The sequence below is a fragment of the Homo sapiens genome, chromosome 2 (assembly GCF_000001405.40).
Source record: "Homo sapiens chromosome 2, GRCh38.p14 Primary Assembly".
Taxonomy (NCBI): Eukaryota; Metazoa; Chordata; class Mammalia; order Primates; family Hominidae; genus Homo; species Homo sapiens.
The window spans coordinates 148,594,743-148,617,519 of NC_000002.12; the positions used below are offsets into that span (position 1 = coordinate 148,594,743).

A 22,777-nucleotide genomic window follows, 5' to 3' on the forward strand; every position below is an offset into this window, starting at 1 on the left:
AGCTCGAATGCTCAGTATATTTTTCGAATCCAGGACAGCTTCGCACACCTCCCCTTGCAGTTCAGGGTTCAGGACTCAGCTCTGGAAAACAGGGACTAGATGAAACTTGCCTTTGTCATTTCCCACTGTCCATTTCCCTCTTGTCACTCTTCTCTGACCTCTCAGTCTTGCCTTCCTATCTAGATTTTAAAGGTGTGGTGAGGGAGGCAGGGAGGGAACACTTTGAAATCCTTTTAAAAGGCCAGGCACCCTGGCACATGCCTGTAATTTCCAGCAGTTTGGGAGGCCAAGCTGGGGCCATTGCTTGAGGCCAGGAGTTTCAGACAAGCCTGGGGAACATAGCAAGACCCCATCTCTACAAAAATTAAAAAATAATGAAATTCGCCTTTGGCCTCATTGCACTCCTGACAGCAAGATGGGTCACCAGCAGCTATACTGGAGCCACCTGTGAAAATTCAGCCAGGGTTCTCATTCTTGTCGTGTCTGTTCAAACGGGCATGGTCTGATCTGGAAATATGGCCTCAATATGTGCCGCCAGTGTTTCCGTCAGTAAGCGAAGGAGATCGGTTTCATTAAGTTGGACTAAATGATCTTCCTTCAAAGGATTATCCAAGGCATCTACTCAATGAAAACCCACGATAGTTCTTGTACTTAAAATAAACATTTGAAAAAAAATAAATAATGCAATTCTATTGAAAGACTTCATGCTTATTCCTATTCTCAGTATTCTCCTCCCATCTCCCATTCCCCCCAACCCCTATGCATGATGATGATGATGACGGGGATCTTTCTGCTCTTTTCTCTCCCCAACTTCAGTTCAGTTTGGCTTAGAAAATATCTTTTGTGCACATTGCCTGTGCTAGACCCTGGGGATGGTAGTTGATGAGATAAGGAGGAGGAGGCAGTCATATTGAGCCACTCTAAGAATATGGGCCTTTATATGAGTGAAATGAGGAAAATGTGCAGGGTTTTGAGGAGGACAGTGGTATGATCTAACTAATGTCTTACTAGGATCATGGATGCTCCTTTAAGAATAGACTTAGGTAGGGCAGGAGTGGAAACAAGGAAACCAGTAAGGAAGCTGTTGTGAAAATTCTCATGAGAGATGATGGGCTAGAGTGTGGCACTGGAGACAATAAGGGATGATCAGATTCTGGATATATTGAAATGTAACGCCAACATGATTTTCTGATGAATTAGATGTGGAATGTGAGAAAAAGACATTAAGGATAAAGCTATGTGTATTAAGTCTCTATTGCTCCATAAAAATTAGCATAAAACTTAGTATCTTAAAACAATTAATATTATAGTCTCACACGGTTTCAGTGGGTAAAGACTTTGGCAGTGGCTTAGCTGGTGGTTCAGTCATGATATTGCAGTCCAGATGTTCGTCAGGGTCATCCAAAAGCTTGACTGGAGCTGTAGGACCTACTTCCAAGATAGCACACTCATATGTGTGGTTAGTTGGTGTTGGCTGTGGGTAAGCACTTCAGTTTCTTGCCATAAGAACTTCCCCATAGGGCTGTTTGTGTGTCCTCATGACATGACAGCTGGCTTTCCCCAGAGCAAATGTTCCAAAAAAGAGCAAGGTGACTGCAGCTGTGTCTTTTAAGATCTAGTCTCAGCCAGGCGCAATAGCTCACACCTGTAATCCCGGCATTTTGGGAGGCTAAGGCAGGCAGATCACAAGGTCAGGAGTTCAAGACCAGCTTGGCCAACATGGTGAAACCCCGTCTCTAGTAAAGATACAAAAAATTAGCTGGGTGTGGTGGCGCACACCTGTGATCACATCTATTCGGGAGGCTGATGCAGGAGAATCACTTGAACCCAGGAGGCGGAGGTTACAGTGAGCTGAGATTGCGCTATTGCACTCCAGCCTGGGTGACAGGGTGAGACTCTGTCTCAATTCACAATTCACAATAGCAAAGACTTGGAACCAACCCAAATGCCCATCAATGATAGACTGGCTAAAGAAAACGTGGCACATATATACCATGGACTACTATGCAGCCATAAAAAAGGATGAGTTCATGTCCTTTGCAGGGACATGGATGAAACTGGAAACCATCATTCTCAGCAAACTAACACAGGAACAGAAAACCAAACACCGCATGTTCTCACTCATAAGTGAGAGTTGAACAATGAAAACATGGACACAGGGAGGGGAACATCACATACTGGGGCCTGTCAGGGGATGGGGGACTAGGGGAGGGATGGCATTAGGAAAAATACCTAGTGTAGATGATGGGTTGATGGATGCAGCAAACCACCATGGCACGTGTATACCTATGTAACAAACCTGCATGTTCTACACATGTGTCCCAGAACCGAAGTATAATTTAAAAAAAAAAAAAAAGGGAGAGATGAGAGATGGTGAAGATGGTAAGAGGTCTGCTTCTCCTTAGCTGCATTGAATGCAGTTTAAGAGAATGCTACTGTGAGGGGATGATCAAGACAGTCACAGAGAACAGATAAACAAAATGTAGTATATCCATATATTGGACTATTATTCCACAATTAAAAGATGAAACAAAAATGAGTCATGTACAACGTGGATGAACCTTGAAAACATTATGCTAAGTGAAAGAAGCTAAACAATAAACCCCATGTATTATATGATTTCATTTATATGAAGTGTCCAGAATAGGCAAATCTTTAGAGGTAGAGAGTAGATCATTGGTTTTCTAGGGCTAGGAGAGGAGAAGGGGCTTGGGAATGACTGTTAATGGGTATGGGGTTTCTTTGAGGGTTGATGAAAATGTTCTAAAATTAGACTTTGGTAATGGTTGCACCACTCTTTAAATATACTGTAAACTAACCATATACTTGAAAAAAGATTGGCCAGGCGTGGTGGCTTATGCCTGTAATCCCAGCACTTTGGGACGCCGAGGCAGGAGGATCACAAGGTCAGGAGTTTGAGACCAGCCTGGCCAATATGGTGAAACCCCGTCTCTACTAAAAATACAAAAAATATTAGCCGGGCATGCTGGCGCATCCTTGTAATCCCACCTACTCAGGAGGCTGAGGCAGGAGAATTGCTTGAACCTGGGAGGTGGAGGTTGCAGTAAGCCGAGATCTTGCCACTGCAGTCCAGACTGGGCGACAGAGTGAGCCTCCATCTCAAAAAAAAAAGATCTAGTCTCAGAAGTCGCATACCATAATTTATGCAAGTCCTATTAGTTACATAGGTAGGCATATTCAGTAGGAGATGGGACAAAAAAAGAGAGGAATAGGGACTACTACTGGTGGCCACCTTGAAGCCTGGCTATCACAGTATGTCCCCAGAGCCCCATTTGTTCATGTCCCCAACATGCATAATATATTTCCTCCTGTCCAGACTCTTCCAGCAGTCTCATACCTTTATATCATTGATTCAAAATCCTGCCACCTAAATCATCTAACCATGAATGAATGGAGTGTCATTTACTGAGATGAGTAAAACTAGAGTAGAAACAACTTTAGTGGGGAATATTAAGTGAAGATTTAGGTATGTTAAGTATGAGATGTCTATTGAACTGCAAGTAGAAATTTCAAGTGTACAACTTAATGTGCAAAACTTGGGTTCAGAGAAAACACCTGGACTAGATGTATAAATTTTGGAGTTTTTGGTGTATGGGTAACAAAATTTAAATTAGGATAAATTCACCAGGGCAGTGAGTATACATAAAAATGAAAAGAGGCTTTCCAACATTTGGATGTCAAGAAGATGAGGAGGCACAAAAAAAGAAATACATGATATGATTGAAAAGGAATAATAGTTCCATGGCCGGGCACCGTGGCTCACACCTGTAATCCTAACACTTTGGGAGGCTGAGGCGGGCAGATCACAAGGTCAGGAGATCGAGACCATCCTGGCTAACATGTGAAACCCTGTCTCTACTAAAAATACAAAAAAATTAGCTGGGTGTGGTGGCACGTGCCTGCAGTCCCAGCTACTTGGGAGGCTGAGGCAGGAGAATCTCTTGAACCCTGGAGGAGGTAGAGGTTACAGTGAGCTGAGATCGTGTAATTGCACTCCAGCCTGGACGACAGAGTAAGACTCCATCTCAAAAAAAAAAAATAGTTCCATGATGCACTCATGCAAATCAGTCCCCTTACGTTACACTCCACAATGCTTCCTGTAGTTTCTTTCTTTTATTTTTTTTAAGACAGAGTCTCGCTCTGTTGCCCAGGCTGGAGTGCAGTGGCACAATCTCGGCTTACTGCAAGCTCTGCCTCCCGGGTTCACGCCATTCTCCTGCCTTAGCCTGCCGAGTAGCTGGGACTACAGGCGCCCGCCACCACGCCCGGCTAATTTTTTGTATTTTTTTTAGTAGAGACGGGGTTTCACCATGTTAGCCAGGATGGTCTCGATCTCCTGACCTCATGATCCACCCACCTCGACCTCCCAAAGTGCTGGGATTACAGGCATAAACCACGGCACCTGACCTGCTTCCTGCAGTTTTTAATGTCACACAACCATTATGACTGTATTAGCTGCAAATTATATAGCCTCAGCCTAGCTTCTCAAAGGACCCAGTCTTATTCCTTGCTGACTAGGAGTCAGAAGCCAGAAGATTGTGCAATCTTCTCCTTGTGTTACCTTCTGGTCAGTGTCAGGTTCTTACACAAACAACAGAGGTCCTCTCTCTTTTAGTCTCCCCTCTACTTCCTTTTTCTATCCCTTTCTCCCCAGGGTCTCTGGCTCATTTTACCTCCACTCTTTTTATTTGCACCAGTTATTCCTGTTTGCTCTTCAAACTTTTCTCAGTGGAGCATGCTGAGGTATTCTTAACTAGAATGACATGTTTTCATTGATGTCACTGCACCTGCCACCATCATGGCAGGCTGTACCTTCAAGGACTGTCCTCCGCATAGCACTCCCTGACAAAACATATCCACCAAAGTCCCTTTGGAACCAGTCATAGGAAACTTCTAACTTTGGGAAAATTCCAGCACCACAGAGGCCAGCATGACAGATGACAGGAAGAGCAAGGCTGGACTCTACAGCTGCTAGCCTTCATATCCAGAGTCATGTCTGTGGTCCAACACCCCAGGGCTTGCCTGCTATGTGCCTATGTCACCGATTTGCCTTTCAACCCTTCAGCCTTTCTGGAAGGAGCCAGATCCCAAGGGGATGTGTGTAGGCTTGGTTACTCTGACAGCTGCATTGTGTTCCTCCTTTTCCTGTATCTTATCAAAAGCAGGGTGATGTGAGCAAGGCACATGGGCATGCTGATTGTTTAGGGCATGTACTCAGAGATGTGTGTCAATCCACAGGGCTGCTCTGTCTAGCCTGATGTTTCTCAGTGGGAGCTCTATTAGCAATTTGGGCAAGACAGTTCTTCATTGTGCGAGACTGTCCCAAACACTACAGGATACCTAATATCCCTGTCACACTCCCACCAAAACACTAGTAGCACCCACCAATCATTGTGACGACTGGTAGCTGCCTTGTGCTTCCCTACACAGTCCTGGTCCAAGTAGAGCAGCTCCAGGATGACCTCCCTTCGGCTACTATTGTGCTCCTCTCCTCAGCATTATTTTTATCTTTGAGAATAAGAAACTCATGCAATAGGCAGAATTCTGAAGATTCCCATCTCCTGGTTATTAAATCAAACATTTAATCTAAGTTCTGCTTTGGACTTGTGGATGCAATTAAGGTGACTAGCTGAATTTAAAGTGGGGAGATTATCCTGGATTATCTGAGTGGGCCCAGTGTAATCATGTGAGTCCTTAAAAGCAGCCGCAGAAGGCAGAAGAGTCAGTCAGAGAGACGGGCAGAAGGGGAAGTCAGGGACACTTGAAGCATAAGAAGGACTCAACCTGCCATTGCTGAACAGGAGATGCATATGGAAAGCATGAGAAGGAAGGCGGCAGCCTCTGGGAGAAAAGATCAGTCCATACTGGCAGCCAGCAAGGAAGCAAGCACTTCAGTCCTACACCCACAAGGAACTGAATCTGGCCGACAATGTGAATGAGCTTGGAAGCAGATTCATCCCCAGAGCCTCTAGAATGGAATCCAGACCTACCAACACCTTGATTTCAGCCTCATGAGGGTCTAAGCAGAGGACCCAGCAGAACCATGCTGTACCTGGACTTCCAACCCACAGAACTGTGATTTAATAAATGGCTGTTACCTCCTTGTAAGGAAATGTCTCCTTATTTATTGAACTAAGATTTTCACTCTGTTCCTTTCACCATCAGACCTAATTTTATTTCTTGTAGCCATGTAGACTGACACTGCTATAGATTGAAGGCTATATCTGAGTCTTCTCCTCTTTGAACCAAAGATTCCCTGTGCATTCTCTACCCTGGTTACTTTTCTGTAAATGTATTTTATCTTGTTTAGGTCCCTGGATTTATATTCTAGATAATGGGGAATTTAATGACAAAATAAGTGTTCAGAAAGCCCTTACTACTCTGAGGTGTCTTACTCTTGCATTATAAAAAGAAATTTTCTATCTTTATCACCAAAGAGAAACATCGTTTTCTGGATCATTGACCATTCTATTGTCCATAGTAGAAAAGCATCATTTAGAATGACCTGGAATTGAGGAAAATGAAGTAGAAAATTGTCAGGAAGCTTTCACAAGTATGAATCTGTGTGAACATTATTATAGGTTGTGATACTTAATGAGGATTAAAATTCGATGCTTAGGAAGCTGAAGAAATTTTGCTGAGTGAAATAAGCTCAGCAAAAAGCAGCCGCATCTGGGAATTAGGATATTGTATTCCATCTGTCCAGCTGGGCTTCTGATTAGAATCAGTTTCCTTGGTTGGTTCTTGGAACATGGGGCAGGACCAAAGCCTTTGCCAAGATATCAGGGAAGGCAGGTGGGGCCGATTATTGTCATGATCCTCAACTGACAGCTCCTGAAAGCTTCCAGCAGCATGATTCATGACTGACTAGAACAAAAATGGACAAAAGGAGAAGCAACAGCCTTATAATGGGAGCAACAGGGGGAAGAACATTTGAGTCTTCATTAAAATTACTGAGTATGCCATAAAAAGTGACTTTAAAGATACGCAGACATAAGGAAATCATGGCTATTGGGAATACTTTGGAAAGTGACCAAAACAAACAAACAAACAAACTAGATTCAATAACTAGGAAGTGAGTAGTTATCTTGTTTGCTTTGTATTGCAATTGAACCATTTCCAGTTTCACACATACAGGGGTATTTTCCTCAATTAAATTTTAGCACTTTTGGAAGAATGGTTACATCTTATGATTTCTTTGAATAAGATAAATAGCATGTTCTCAGAAACTCTTAATTAATTGAACTGAATGAAATTGCCTGTTGACTGGCTGAATAATGAATAAAATCATTGTTGTTCTAATTAGAATACAAGTCCTTTGGGAGAAAGCTAGATTGAGTTGGAAGAAACCATATGTTCCCGATTCCTCCATCCTTCCAGATTAAATGACCTACAGCCCTGGGGTTTTTTCAAAGTGTGGCTAAAAGACTTCTACAATAGAATTGTCTGGAGATGCTTGCTAAAAATGAAGAATTCTATACCCTACTGCCCTAGACCCACTGAATCTGGAAGAGAGGGGTATTTGCCTTTTTCTAAAATTAAAGCACAATTTACATACAACTAAACGCACAGATTTTAAGTGCACCTTTCAATGGGATTCAACAAATGTATATAATCCACCACCTCAACCAAAACTTCCATCACTCTAGAAAGTTTCCATAGGCCCCTTTCCAGCCAGTCACCCACCCTCCCAGAAGTGACTACTGTTCTGATTTCTCTCACACTTGTATACTCTTTTGAGCCAGGCTTCTTTCACTTAACATAATGGTTTTGAGAGTCATCCATGTTGTTATAGATATTAATTGTTCTTTCTCATTGCTAAGTAATATTCCACTGTGCTACATATGGAATATGCTACAATTTGTTCATACAACCACCTGCCGAGGGGCATTTGGGTGTGTGTTAGTTTTTTAGGCTGTATAACCAATTATCACAAACATAGCAGCTTAAAACAACATACATTTGCAGTTTGAGTCTCCCTTATCTGAAATGTCTGGGACCAGAAGTGTTTTGAGTTTTGGATTTTTTTCAGATTTAGGAGTATTTGCATTATACTTACTGGTTAAACATCCCAAATCCAAAATACAAAATGCTCCAATGAGCATTTCCTTTGAGCATCTTGTTGAGCAAAAAGTTTTGGATTTTGGAGCATTTCAGATTGGGTTTTCAGACTTAGGACGTCCAATCTACATTAGCTCACAATTTCCATGGCTTGGAGCTGAGGCATGGCTTAGTCTGGTCTTCTGCCAGGGTCTCGCAAAGCTGCAACCACAGTGTCAGCAAGCTCCATTACTATCTGGAGCTCGAAGTCCTCTTCCAAGTTCACATGGTTGTTGGCAGAATTCAGGTCTTTTCAGTTGTAGTACTGTGGATCTTGGCTTTGTACTGGCTGTCAGCTGGAGGCTGCCCTCTGTAGTTCCCTGCCACGTGGCCTTTTCCAAGGGCAGCTTACAACATAGCTGTTTAATTCTTCAAGGCCAGCAGTAAAGTCTCTCTCTCCAGCCTGCTAAAATGGAGTCTTATATATGTAACATAATCGTAGGCATATGACATTTCATCACCTTTGCTATATTGGTTAGGAGCAAGTCACAAGTTCCACCCACACTCGAGGGGATTATACAGGCTGTGAATTTTTGGGAGGCCACCTTAGGGTGTGTCCACCGGAAGGTATTTTGCATTCTCAGCAATTATGAATATTAGCGCACAACTCTTTGTGTGAACATATGCTTTCACTTATTTTGAGTAAACACCTAGGAGCGGAATTGCTTGATCACAGGGTAGGCGTATGTGTAACTTTGTAAGAAAATGCCAAACCGTTTTTCAAAAAGTTTGTGCAGTTTTATGCTCGTATCAGCAATGGAATAAACGTCTCAGCTGCTCCACATCTTCACCAATATTTGCTGTTGTCTGTCTTTGTCATTTTAGCCACTTTCTACTGATGTGAAATGTGCATTTTTAATATGCTCTGTGGGTGCTTCTTTCACATCTTCCACCACTGCTTTTTAGAAGTGAGTCATAGAGAAACTGCCTGAGACTGCTCAGCTCTTGCTATGAGTCCCTCAGAAGTCAGTCCCCAAACCTAACTGATCAACCTGATTCACAGGGAGCATTTGTTAAGAACATGGACTCTGGGGCCTATTCCAGACCTCCTGAATGAGCATCTTCAGGATTATAAATTGGGAATCTATTTTCCAAAAACCCTCAAGGTGATTATTTGAATTGCTGGAGCTTGGAACCATTGCCTTCACTACTTCAAGACACAAAAGTGTCTCTAGTGTGCTCCTCACACAGAGAACATGTCCATAAAGTGGGGCTAGGACCCTGCGATGGCACCACAGCTGTCCCTGCTTGTAACATTGAAGAATTGTAAGTTGAACCATTGTATAGAGACCATCTATACAATTAAATTGTTTCCAGTTTTTTATTCTTGATAACAATGCTGCAGCCAATAGCTTTAAACATTTTCTTTTATGCTGATGTGCATAGGATAATTTCTTGAAAGTCAGGTTGCTTATTCAAAGAGGTAGGGCTTCTTTAATAACATCCATTAGCATATTAGTGCTTATTTGCTTATTTGTTTCTTCTTATGTTAATGACATAACTTCATGGGAGAAAAGAAGTTGGGGGAATTACAGCTCAGGTGTTTAGCTTTGCTAGTAAGACTTGTATTTCTTATTTTCATCTCCAAATGTAACTCAATCATTCCAAGTCATATTCCCTTTCAATTTTCAGGAAGACATTAAATTTCTTTAAGAAGTAATTCATATAAAAATACTTGTTGAGTACATATTATATGCCTATCAGGCTCTGTGACATGATGTGAGCACTAGATGGAAGCCCAGAAAGAAGACAGACAATAAACCAAGCAATTGCAACCCAGGGTGCTGGGTACAGAGCCCTCTGGCGGCACACAGCTGGGACACCTAACCTGATGGGGAGCGATCAAGATTCCTCCATGATTTTTTTTTTTTTTTTTGAGATGGAGTCTTGCTCTGTTGCCCAGGCTGGAGTGCAGTGGCGCCATCTCAGCTCACTGCAAGCTCCACCTCCCAGGTTCATGCCATTCTCCTGCCTCAGCCTCCCGAGTAGCTGGGACTGCAGGCGCCCGCCACCACGCCCAGCTAATTTTTTTTTTTTTTTTGGATTTTTAGTAGAGATGGGGTTTCACCATGTTAGCCAGGATGTTCTCAATCTCCTGACCTCATGATCCACCCGCCTTGGCCTCCCAAAGTTCTGGGATTACAGGCGTGAGCCTCCACGCCCGGCCCAGGATTCTTATTCTCTAACCTTCGTTTTGTTAAAAACACATTCATATGAATAGACATTCATGCATTCCTCTCTGATTAACAGTCTTTCCCCCTCAGGCCAGATCCAGGGTAGTTACCTGTCTAGGATGAAACATTCAGGAGGACTGCTCAATCCCTTGCTGCCACTGCAGTGAGAAAGATAGAGGAACGGACGAACAGGAGGACAGGGGCATATGGCCAGCTACACATTCAAATGCCTGTGGTGAACAGTTGATGGGTTGTAGAGTAAGAATCAGGAGAGCCCTAGCTGTGCTGCTAGTTGATTTCTTTGGGGTTGCATACCTCTGCCTCTTCCACCAGAAAAAATAAAATATCAGTGTCTCAACAACCTATAGATAGAGGGTGTCCAAAATGTGTGGGGACATAAGACAAACCTGTTTTTAAATGGTATGCTCAATAGTCTCTTTTTTCAATCTCCAGACAGCTTTTCAAGTAAAATTCTTCTAAATTTCAGTATATACTACAGAGGGTTCACAAAAGTCTGGACACAGAGAAAACAAGTACTTACTGTATTTTTTCAAATGGACAATTGGACTCATTGCTTTAAGTTGAGAAGTTCTTCACCTGAAAAGGTGTCTGGAGAATGAAGAAAAATAGATTGAGCACAGTATTGGAAAATATAACTGACATACTGTTTAAACATAAATTTGTCCTATGTTGTCCAACTTTTCAAACACCCTGTACATTGTCCATTTAACCCTCAAAGCAAGTATGGTTGCTGAGGTCAGGGAGGTTACACAAGTTGCCCAAGGTCTCCCAAAGACTCAGTAGCAGAACCATGATTTAAACTTCACATATCTGAGGCCCAAGCTCACCTGCTTTCTCCTTCAGGGCATCACCTCTGAGCTCAGACCACCATACAGTGTTATTGTAAGACCACAGTACCTTCCTGACACCTTGATTGCAGCCTGATTCTATTCAGCAACAGGCTCATCTCTTAACATTGTGGGCTTCAGGAACCTTTTTGAGACACGAATGAAAGTTATGGACTCCTCTCTAGACAATTGGAATTTTGTGTTCCATAGTAAGGCATACACAAGACCCCAAAATCTAACCCTAGGCCCCTTTGGGGATTACAGACCCAGGTAAAGAATCATTTCTTTTGGCTGTAGAGTTCTGAAAGACAAAGTCTAGACCTTATGTTCAGGTGCCTTAGAAACTGTTGGAGGGAATGTAAGGAGCCAGTGAAGCAGAGAGGAAGGAAGGGAAAACCCTTCCAATAATAAGGATGCTATGGAACATCATAAGGCTCAAGCAATGATATTAATAGTTCTCTTTCCTTTCAGCAGAGCCATGTAATTATAAAGGACACTCATGAGGCAGTAGCTGTCGGTGCTCCACTTCTTATCTGTGTTGCTACCACAGCCTGTGAGCACATGAATGTGTACCCATACATGCACTCCAACCTGAACCTTTCTTGGAGTTAGAGACACAAGGAAGGACAGCAACATATGCATTTGGGTCTGTTCCATGGGATACCCAGGAGGCTTAAAAGCTATTTTCTACCTCCTATGTAAATAGAAACTGACCCCTTCTTTGAGGTGCTGGCCATATTTGATGTCAGAATTTTTTCATATTGCTGAGAATCAGAATGATCTATCATTATGTATAATTTCCTAGGAAAGGGTTGCAATATTATACCAAGCTTCAAAGCACTTTTGAGTATAGAATGTTCACTCCCTTCAAGCCCAAGAAAGATGTTGGGAATGAATTAGTTTCCCTCAAATTTTCCTCCTGGGCACTCCTTTTCCCTCTCTCCCTCCTACCACCACCTGGCATCCCCTGCCATGCCCTACGCACCCCATTCTGATGGCTGTATTGCCCCTCTGGGAAGCATTTCTTACAAACAAAAATAAGCAAAGCACTCAGCTCATACAACATCTTCCATCCTTGCGTAAGGTTCTCATTCACTAATGAATGCCTCCCTGGGGCTTCACGGGTTGTGAAGGCAAACATAGGCCTGGGGACCAAAAAGTGAATTATTGATCACTTGTGCACAAGCATCTTAATGAAGTGAGAACAAGCAATGAGCCCAACCCTTGGAAAGTCATTTCCAAGCTGTATTGTCTGCCTTTTTAGTAAATGTGTTCTGTCCTTTGCCAGGTAAAGTAGACAGCTGCCCACAGAAAGAGATTTCTTGAGACACAAGGAGTGCATTCATTCATTCATTCAATAACTATGAGGACTTATTATGTAGTAGGTACTATGCAAAATGTGGTGGATGCCATGAGCTTATCATTTAATAGGAGACACTTATGAGTGTCTGTACTAAAGGGAAACATAGGGGTCCTGGATGCAGGACTGCTTCCAGGCAAGATGCCAACAGTTGGGCCAGGGGTTGAAGACCTGTAGGAATTACCTGGAAGTGTCTGTGGGGAAGTAGAGGGCCTTAGAGAGGTCCTTCTAGGCAGAAAGAACAGAATAGGTGAAGACTTCAGAGGCAGAGGTGTGCCGAAGCCTGTTCGCACTGATGGGAAAAGGGGATTGTGGCCTTTCCTCCCAACTCCGCATTCATGGATGTCACATTACTAGCTGGAAATCAGTCATGATGAGGGTATTTACACAACAGAAATTGGCAAATATTGTCAGGGCATTTTTTTGCCCCTGAAGAGCGAGTTGATAAACACTTACCAACACCACTGCCCAGAGGTGAGGTGACCAAAAGCACGGTAGCCTGGGGCAAACTGCCAGAAGGTCATCATGTCTGCTGTTTAATACCGAGAGTGGTTAGCAGAGACAGGGTGGCTGGGTGTGTCAACAGGGAGCAAGTCATGAAATGCCTCATAGCCACACAAAGGAATTTGGGAGTGATACTATCTTGCCAAGTTTGTTGTTTTTGTTTTTGTTGTTGTTGTTGTGATGGAGTTTTGCTCTTGTTGCCCAGGCTGGAGTGCAACAGTGCTATCTTGACTCACCGCAACCTGCACCTCCAGGGTTCAAGCGATTCTCCTGCCTCAGACTCCTGAGTAGCTGGGATTACAGGTATGTGCCACCGTGTCCAGCTAATTTTGTATTTTTAGTAGAGACGGGTTTTCTCCACGTTGGTCAGGCTGGTCTTGAACTCCCAACCTCAGGTGATCTGCCCTCTTCGGCCTCCCAAAATGCTGGGATTACAGGCGTGAGCCACCGCACCCAGCTATCTTGCCAAGTTTTTGTGGTGGATATTTGTTGTTTATTCTTGACCAGCATCTATACCTCTTTCTTCTGGTATAAGCAGTCCAGTTTTCCTCTAAGGAACCATCCCCTTCTACTTTTAGGTCTTATGGTTTCAGGGGTAGGTTTATAGCACAACTTTCGGTAATCTAGAAACTGTCTTATCTATAGTCACAGAGGTGCAATGCGAGCCAGCCTTGGGATTTGTGCTGGGGCTACAAGGAAAGAGACATGATTTTTCCACTGGGATGGCTAAATCTGGAACTGTTGGTGACCATCTTACCACCTTGAGCTAAGAGCCTACCTGGGACTGAAGCCAATAGTAAAGAAAGAACACCTGAGAGACTGAAAGAGACACATTCCTGATGATATTATTTGAGCACCTTGATTTAGTTGTACTCTAACTGGACTTCATTATACGAGACTAATATATTTTCTTTTCTGCTTCCGCTGGTTTGAGTTGGATTGCAGTCTTCTGAAACTGAAAAAGTCCTAAGGTAGTATCTGAAGTCCCAATCCTACTCCTCCCAATTCCTGCACTTTTTTTTATTAAACATTATCTCTCTAGGAAGTGCCTCTTAAAATACAATTACATTATGGGCTTGGTGGTGTGCACCTTAGTCCCAGCTACTCAGGAGGCTGAGGTGGGAGGATTGCCTGAGCTCAGGAAGTCAAGACTGCAGTGAACTAAGACCATACCACTGCATTCCAGCCTTGTGGAGCAAGAAAAGAAAAGAAAAAAGAAAGAAATCAAAATTTAAAAAAAAAAAAAGTTTAAAATACAATTACATTAAAAGAATAAAATAATAAGAATATTATTTTAGCATAGATTGGCTAATGAGCAGAAAGCATGTGTGATAAACACACACACACTCACACACACAAGAACACAAATGCATCCAAATCTGAATTAGCAGACTCTAGCATGAATAACCGAATAAATGACAATGACAAGGAAATTACTGCGTTCTTTTATTAAGAATCTTTGTTTGGTGTCTATGCACACCTAAGATAATTACCTAGCTTCAGCATTAAGTGAAGCACACACAACCTTATAATAGTTCCTTGGGCCTCAAGAGTGACAAACGGCAAGTTTCTGTGACAGCGACTTTAAGGGAAGAGAAAAGGCTTCCAGGAGACGGCTGGCACAGCCAAGAAGCCATTTCTGCCATTCTCCAAAGAGAAGCTGCCTGTCTTCATTAGAAACAATCAAACAATCTGCTTAGCTTTGGAATCAGGGCCACACAGGCACGGACACCACAGCACATAATTCTTGCAGTAAAAAATAACGGAGCTCTGTTGACACCCCAACAATCAGAGGTCTTGGGACTGAAAACTGCACCAAGACCCAAAGTGACTTAAGTTGCATAATATATTTGTAAGATAAATCAGCAATCACAAAGCTCTAGGTAGAGGAAAGCTGTGGATAGGGGCTGCGTTCTAATCTGAGCCCTAATGAGCTGTGGGTCACTGCATGGGTCAGGACCTTAGTTCCCTACCTATAAAATTCTATTTGATTTTTACTCAGTTGGTTCTTCAGTTTCCTCACCTGTAACCCAAAGGGGTGGATCTCACTCTAAGATTTCTGAGGATCTTTTGATTCTAACATATATAATATATACACACACATATGTATATATATATACACACACACATATATATATATAATGCTGTCTTTCTCAGCATGGTAGTCAGGGTCCCACAGGAAATAGAAGGCATGCTCTGGGAATTTGAAGAGATGTGGGTATAGTTAAGGGAACTAGCAAGGGACGTTGAGTGTATCAGTTATCTATAGCCACCTAACCAACTACACCAAAACTTAGTGGTATATGACTTCTCATGGCTCAGGAGGTTGAATGGGTTCAGCAGGGTAGTTCTCACCAGGGTGTCTCATGCATTTGTAGTCAGACATTGGCTAGAACAAGAATCATCGGAAGGCCACCTATTCATATATCTGCACCTAGACGGGGAGGCTCACACAGGTGGAGCTGCAACAACCAGCGTCCTCAGACAGAGCTCTCTCTCTATGTGGTCTCTCCATATGGTCTCTTGTCAGGGTAACTAGACTTCTTACATGGTGGCTGAAGGCTCTAAATGTGCATGTCCCAAGAGAGCTAGGAGAAAGGTTTACCTAAAGGAGATGACCTAGCCTTGGAAGCTACATTGCGTCCCTGCTATTGATTCTATTTGTCAAGGCCAACACAAAAGCCATCCCAGGTTCAAGGGGGGTGGAGGGGACAAAGATTCCACCTTTTGATGCAGCGATGTCAAGGTTCTTTAAGAGCAAGTAGGAGAAGAAATTCTATGGTTGTTCTTTTGGAAGAAACAATCTGCCACATTGAGGCACCCAGGGCCTAGCAAGAGTGGAATGCTGTTATCACACCCAGCTTGGCCTGAAGGCCAAGGAGAGGAAATAGTGACAGCTGAACCAATGAAAGAGAGCAAACTGATAGGAGCTATAATCCTGAAGGTAAAGCCACTGGCTGACCACAGTATCAAGGGCAGGGAGAATGTGGGGTAAGAAATACTCCAACATCTCTATTCTCTGACTCTGATCTCCTGTAGATGCCTTCCATCAAGAAACTATAGGACAAAATGGGCTTCATGAGGTGGTGTATATGGGTGTACCTCCCCCCAATCCAGGGTGCAGAGAAGGGCAGTGAAGGGTGGAGAACAGATGGAGGAAGGGTACAGATTAACCACCATATTTGCTGATGCCCTGAAATGACCACACATACTCACCTGAGAATTTTAAAATACAGCTAACTGATAAAAGCAACAACTCTTACTCTGTGGCTAATAATTCAAGGACAATTTGAAAAGTGCTATAAGATTCCATCTAAGACTTGCTCCAGACAATAAAAAATAAAGTGTTTCTCTAGAACTTCCTTAAGTAAGAAAGAAACCATACACCAAAGGAAAATCAGAGCATAAGCCACTAGTTTGATTACTGCATGGAAGGAACAGTAAAGGGTTGGAACTGAAGAGGAGGTTAAAGGTAAGAGGCACAAATTTATTTACCCAGCATATTTATATGGTGCCAACAATATACTTCATATTCTGAATGTATTTATTAAAGATGTCAGTATGGCACAGAAATAACAATTCAAAGCAAAAAATGGAATCTGGATCTAAAAATGAAAAAAAAAAGTCTTTGAAGTAAGTATTAGTATTCTTTTAACTGCCAAGGGCAGAAAACAACCCTCTGGTTTTAACAAAAAGAGTATCATTGGCCCATGTTTCTGGAAAGTTCTGGTTAAGGCTGGCTTTAAGTATTGCTCAAAGGATATCACCAACTCCCAGATCTCTGTTTTTCTCTTGAAGGGATAAATGTGCAGCCCCTAGGATCTGAATATGTGGGAACACAGCCCAACTTTATCACTTAGTATCTGTTATCAACATGGGTAGATCAGTTAACTTTTCTGTGCCTTGGTTTCTCCCTCTATTAAGTGGGAATCATAAGCATACCCTCCTCATGGAGGGTTGTGAGGATTATCTGCCATAAAGGCTTTTCCCCCACTTTTCAATAAGTTATGTTATTTTATAAAATAGCTCAAAAGAATTACATGAGGATATTCTAGGTAAATAAGCATTTCAATTATGGTAGAAGAAAAAAATACATCTTAACATAAAGTCTTAAATTAGGTCTGCTAGTCAATATGGCAGGTTCAGAAACTCATCAATTGCTCTGAGAGAGGGTTCCAAGCAATGTAGCTTGCTGGGACTGGAAGAGGATTTGTTACTTTTGATTTGATCACTACTTTCTGATCTAACTGGGGGCAACAGACTGGTTGATGGCACCTAGTTCATGAACAGTCCTTGGTGACAAATGGAATAAGCTCTAATCATCCAAGTGTTGGCTTCCCCTGTGATTCTGTGTTTGTATTTGTATTGATTGGGTGGGGAATTACAAATTGAAGATCTTACAAGTTCACCCACAGCAGTGTTTATCAAAATGTTGGACCAGGCTGGGCGCGGTGGGTCACGCCTGTAATCCCAGCACTTTGGGAGGCCGAGGCAGGTGGATCACCTGAGGCCGGAAGTTCGAGACCAGCCTGACCAATATGGAGAAAACCTGTCTCTACTAAAAATACAAAATTGGTGGGGCATGGTGGCACATACCTGTAATCCCAGCTACTCAGGAGGCTGAGACAGGAGAATCACTTGAACCCTAGAGGCGGAGGTTGTGGTGAGTCGAGATAGCGCCATTGTATTCCAGCCTGGGCAACAAGAGTGAAACTCCGTCTCAAAAAAAAAAAGCTGGACCAATCACATCAGAATCACTCAGTGGTTGTTTACAGTGATGAATCCTGGTTTCCATCCTAGAAATACTTGATGAGAATATTTGCAAGGGATCTGTATTAATAAGTACCAGGTGATTCTTATGTACTCTAAAGTGGAAGATCTTAAGAATACATAGTATTTTTCTCTTGTGCATTCATCATCAACTACATTTATTTATTCATTTATTTAACAAATATTTATTTGTGTCAGTCACTGTCTGAGGTACTGAGGAATAATGTGGTCTGTAAGATCAACCAAGTCCCTGCTCTCAAGGGGCTTATACTCTGGGGGATGGAGGAGAAGAGAGGCAATACTTTATAAAACAAACAATATAATTTTGGCTAATAAGAACTATGGAGGAAATAAAGTGATGTGAGTTGGGGGCAACTGGCTCAGTGGTTTCTTTAGATCGAATAGTCAATAAAAGCTCAAGGTGGTGTAAACATTTCAGTTGAAAGACGTGCAGTATGATATTCTTTCCCCTGTTTATTCATGCTCAGGATAAAGTACACACACATATATATATACACATGAATTATAGTCCTGTTAGACAAACTGAATGAAAAAATTTAATATTAGTTTAATTAAAAGGATTTTTTTTTTTTTTTTGAGACGGAGTCTTGCTCTGTTACCCAGGCTGGAGTACAGTGGTGTGATCTTGGCTTACTACAACCTCCACCTCCTGGGTTCAAGCAATTCTCCTGCTTCAGTCTCCTGAGTAGCTTGGATTACAGGCACCCACCACCAAGCTCGGCTAATTTTTGTATTTTTAGAAGACATGGGGTTTCACCAAGTTGGCCAGGTGACCAACTCCTGACCTCAGGTGATCCGCACACCTCGGCCTCCCAAAGTGCTGGGACTACAGGCTTGCGCCACTGCACCTGGCCAAAAGGATATTTTAACTACATACTCACACATTTACATTAGACACGTCAACCATGGTGCCTACCATTATTAATAGGAACTGCCTCATTCATTGCCTCTAGGTAGGAGACTGCCCAAGACTGCCATGGGCTGAGCATGGTGGCTCATACCTGTAATCCCGGCACATTCAGAGGCCAAGGCAAGAGGATCTCTTGAGGCCAGGAGTTCAAGACCAGCCTGGGCAACATAGTGAGACCCTGTCTCTACTGAAAATTTTTTTTAAACATTAGCCATGTGTAGTGGTGTACACCTGTTATCCCAGCTACTGGAGAGGTTTAAGAGGGCGTATCACTTGAGCCCAGGAGTTGGAGCTTACAGTGAGCTATGAGCTTGCCACTGCACTCCAGCCTGAGCTACAGAAAGAGACTGGTTGTTAAAAAAAAAAAAAAAAAATAGAGACTGTCATGCTTTGAACCACATGACTTTATTCCTAGTTTACAACTGGCTGTACCCAAGGTCAATCAATCCTCAGGATGGCCAGCAGTATAGAAAAAGATAAACAGGACCATCAAATTCTCTCCCAGAAAAAGGATGAGAAGATACTTGGTGCTATGGTTGGAGATTGTTTGTTTGGTTCTGCCTAGTCCCATGGTGAAATTTGATCCCCAATGTTAGAGGTGGAGCCTGATGGGAAGTGTTTGGGTCATGGGGGCTGAACCCTCATGAATGGCTTGGTAATGAATACATTCTTGCTCTGTTGATTCCTGCCAGCACTGATTGTTAAAAGGAGCCTGGTGCCTTCCTCCCTCTCTCTTGTTCCCTCTCTCTTGACACATGACACACTGGCTCCCCTTTGCCTTCTGCCATGAAACAGTCTGAAGCCCTCACCAGAAGCAGATGCTGGTACTGTGCTTCTTGTGCAGTCTGCAGAACCATGAGCCAAATAAACCTCCGCTTTTTATAAATGACCCAGTCTCAGGTATTCCTTTATAGCAATGCAAATGGATTAAGATACTTGGTGAATGAGGCAGGGAGAAGCAAGCTCTGGGGCTGAAAGGGTATATTGAGAGAAATTGTGACACACAGTGGATCAACACGTGGCCAGAGAAGCTAAAGGGAAACAGAAACTCTGAGTAAGATGAGGAAGCAAAAACTATGAGAAAGCAAAAATAATGAGGTGGAAGCTCAGGCCCACCAAGCGTAGCTGGTTGTCACATGGATGGCAGCCTACATGTGCGGAGTTGGACAAATTCCTCTTCTCCCTTTTACCTGACTCTACTCCAGTTCCTGTTCTTCCTGTGGCTAGGATATGTGGCTTTTCCTGGGTTCCTAAATGTTTTAAATCACCAGCAGCAGGAGTAGGATAAGCACTGCTCTCAGCACACATTTTTTGAGATAACTTGAATGTGTCTCTGTCACTGAAACTATTTATAGTGTTGTTTTGAATGATGTAATTGTAGCAGGATTATAGCTTAAACACACACACAGACACACACTCCTTTTTTTGTGCCTGCTTCCTGCATGTGAGGGAAGTGAAGTGGTTGTTATGCTTATTCATTTACACATAACTTCTGGAATTCCACTCATACCCCCCAAATACAGGCCATGACTCAAAAGTGCCCCGGGCACATTCTTGCTTACTTTTCTCGCTAGCAAGTGAACAGGTGAACAGACTTATTTTGTGGGTCTGCAACAGCTTCAAGGGATTTGGAGTTCATTGATCCCAAATAACAAGAATACTTTGCAGTAACTGTCCTCCTAAGTTGATTTTATTCTGATGAACTCTTATCAGTGAGTGGTTTTTCCCTAAAAATAGTTTCTAAAAGGGCTTACACAGTGGCTACCTCCCTAGCAAGAAACAGAATGTATAAATGGAACATGCATCTAATTGTCAGACCCCATCCTCAGTTCTTTTGTGTAATATGAAAAAGAAATGTTTTAAAGCAGTCAAGATATTTAGCTCTAAAAATTAGCCAGTAAGAAGCTACTTGGATAAAGTTAAGTACGTTTTTTTTTTCTTTTTACAAACCTCCCTTTGAAATAAACCAGACAGAGGTTCCTTTCACTTCCATGGGAGTTTTCAGCAAAAGGAGAATGGAAGACTTCATAAGCTCTAAACAGCCTTGGAGGCCATTCATAGACTTCCTAGCATTCTCTGCCATTTCCCAGTGCTAACGGCCCTGAATGTAGCTTCTCACTATCGTTATTGTCCCTCTTGGGCACTAGCCTGGCAGCTGAGCTCTCTGAAGCTTATAGCCTTTGGAGTATGGGAAGAAGTTACCAACAGACACAGTCACAGGCTGCACAGAGAAGAGATGAGCCAGGAACTGGGGCAGTGGGAAGATGAAGAACATAGGGCTATTTTCACACCCTCCTGAATCCCATTTCCTGTTTCCTGCGCCTGCTGCTCCTATAGCAAGTCTGCAAAAAACCCCTGGGGTGAGGACACTCAGAAACCATCCAGACATGCACAGATTTCTCTGCCTCTGCCTCCAGAAACAAGACCTACATAGCCTGCTGCTTCTTCAAAATGTCCTCCTCATACTCTGTTGCTGCTAGCATGGCACTGGCTTGGCTTCAAGAATCCTGTCTTTTAGGGGATCAGAGGCAGATTCTGATATCTGGCCAGTACTCCACATGCTAGTTTACTATTTCCTCTGCTAGAAAATCCTCATCCTCTTCAGGTTCCTATTTTCTCACAGGTATGATGGCATATTCTTTTCTAATTTCATTTCTCTCTTTGAAAGGGTAACAGGTATAGCTTTTGGAGTGCCCCACCACCATCTCCACCAAAACTTCCTTCATTGTTCTGCCAGCTCTGAGTGAATTTCCCAGATAACCTTTTTGGTAAGTGTTCAAAATAACTCAGGACAAAAGATCCTAAGAGTAATCCTAAAAAGATCCTAATTATATTATACCTAGGGAAATACCCTAAAAGTGGGATCTCAAGATGTCAATGCATAAGTCTCTTTAAGAACTTCAGTAATGTCCATCCCTGATTAACTCTATTATAATAGCTGAACAAATCCACACAGATCCAGAGGGAAGTCCCCATTCTTTGCCTGTCTTCTCTTCCCCATAATATGGCCCCCAATCTCAGATCTCTGTGCTATTTGAGATTAGAGCTAGGATGGGCTTTATAAGTAGGCTTATTTGAAAAACAAACAAACAAAAAAACCAAAAAGATGGGTTTTTTTTTTCATCAACTACAAATTATAATCTGGGAAACTTTGAAAAGACAGCTACATTTGCAATATATTGCCCTCCCTGTATTAGCTAGGAATGCTTTTGAATACAAATCACAGAGATATAATTGTAGTTTAAACCATTATTATTAAAGAGAGGCAGGTCCAGGGTTCAATCAGTGGCTCAGTGATGTCACAGAAATAGACACTGTCTACTATTCTGCTCAGACATCCTCAGGGAGTTGGTTTTTTTCCTCCCTGCCTGTTGCCTAATGGTCACATGGCATCATATCCTCAAATCAAAGTGGATGGACAGAAAAGGGCTCAAGAGCTTTCTTCTAATAGGAGTCTGTTTCTTTTATCTGAGAATGAAAGCCAGAATTCAGTCATATGTCCATCACCAGTCCAGTCACTGGTGGAGGAGACTCACATTCCTGTGACTGACTAGAGCAATCACTATCCATTCCTGGGGCTGTAAATTAGGGTTTGGCCCCACCTTCCTTGAAATCAAGGAGTCTAGTTCTTTCATGAGGGAAAAGGGGTAAAGGTGGCGGGGGGGGAGGGGGGATGAGGAATGGTTGTTGGGTAGGCAGCCAAAAATGTCTCCCATAACCACCAAACTTGCTGATACCTGGAATCCAATCCCATAATTTTTTTCACTGATGCTTTAACCCAACAGAGGCTCTGCCCCAGTGAAAGAACACTCCTTATATTTTTAAAGACATTTATATCCCCAAAATATTTAGTTCATCACATTTTTAGAACAATACCAAATAGGAAATTGAAAACCAAGAGCGAAACATACATTATCATGAGCAGTGGTGATGCGCTTGTAAATCTTTAGCCACTAGCTGGGGACGAACCCTGATTTATGACTGTTGATTTTTGTGGTGTAAATTTTCCCACCACAGTCGGTTTCAAGCTGCCAATGGTTTAGCAATTGGCTAGCAGAATTCCTGAAAA

At 42.6% G+C, this 22,777-nt stretch overlaps 1 pseudogene, besides 5 other annotated features; it reads left to right on the top strand.

The window, feature by feature from the left end:
• Nucleotides 385-673, top strand: RPS29P8 (ribosomal protein S29 pseudogene 8; annotated as a pseudogene).
• Nucleotides 8,488-8,597: an enhancer, noted in NCBI's record as "active region_16616". NCBI's record gives its function as "activates an Ori minimal core promoter by ATAC-STARR-seq in GM12878 lymphoblastoid cells {active_cell/tissue: GM12878}" and the evidence as "EXISTENCE:reporter gene assay evidence [ECO:0000049][PMID:35858748]".
• Nucleotides 9,128-9,317: an enhancer, noted in NCBI's record as "active region_16617". NCBI's record gives its function as "activates an Ori minimal core promoter by ATAC-STARR-seq in GM12878 lymphoblastoid cells {active_cell/tissue: GM12878}" and the evidence as "EXISTENCE:reporter gene assay evidence [ECO:0000049][PMID:35858748]".
• Nucleotides 9,850-9,959: an enhancer, noted in NCBI's record as "active region_16618". NCBI's record gives its function as "activates an Ori minimal core promoter by ATAC-STARR-seq in GM12878 lymphoblastoid cells {active_cell/tissue: GM12878}" and the evidence as "EXISTENCE:reporter gene assay evidence [ECO:0000049][PMID:35858748]".
• Nucleotides 19,069-19,674: an enhancer, noted in NCBI's record as "OCT4-NANOG-H3K27ac-H3K4me1 hESC enhancer chr2:149371380-149371985 (GRCh37/hg19 assembly coordinates)". NCBI's record gives its function as "activates a minimal SCP1, AML or CMV promoter by ChIP-STARR-seq in primed H9 embryonic stem cells {active_cell/tissue: H9 hESC(primed)}" and the evidence as "EXISTENCE:reporter gene assay evidence [ECO:0000049][PMID:30033119]".
• Nucleotides 19,676-19,805: an enhancer, noted in NCBI's record as "active region_16619". NCBI's record gives its function as "activates an Ori minimal core promoter by ATAC-STARR-seq in GM12878 lymphoblastoid cells {active_cell/tissue: GM12878}" and the evidence as "EXISTENCE:reporter gene assay evidence [ECO:0000049][PMID:35858748]".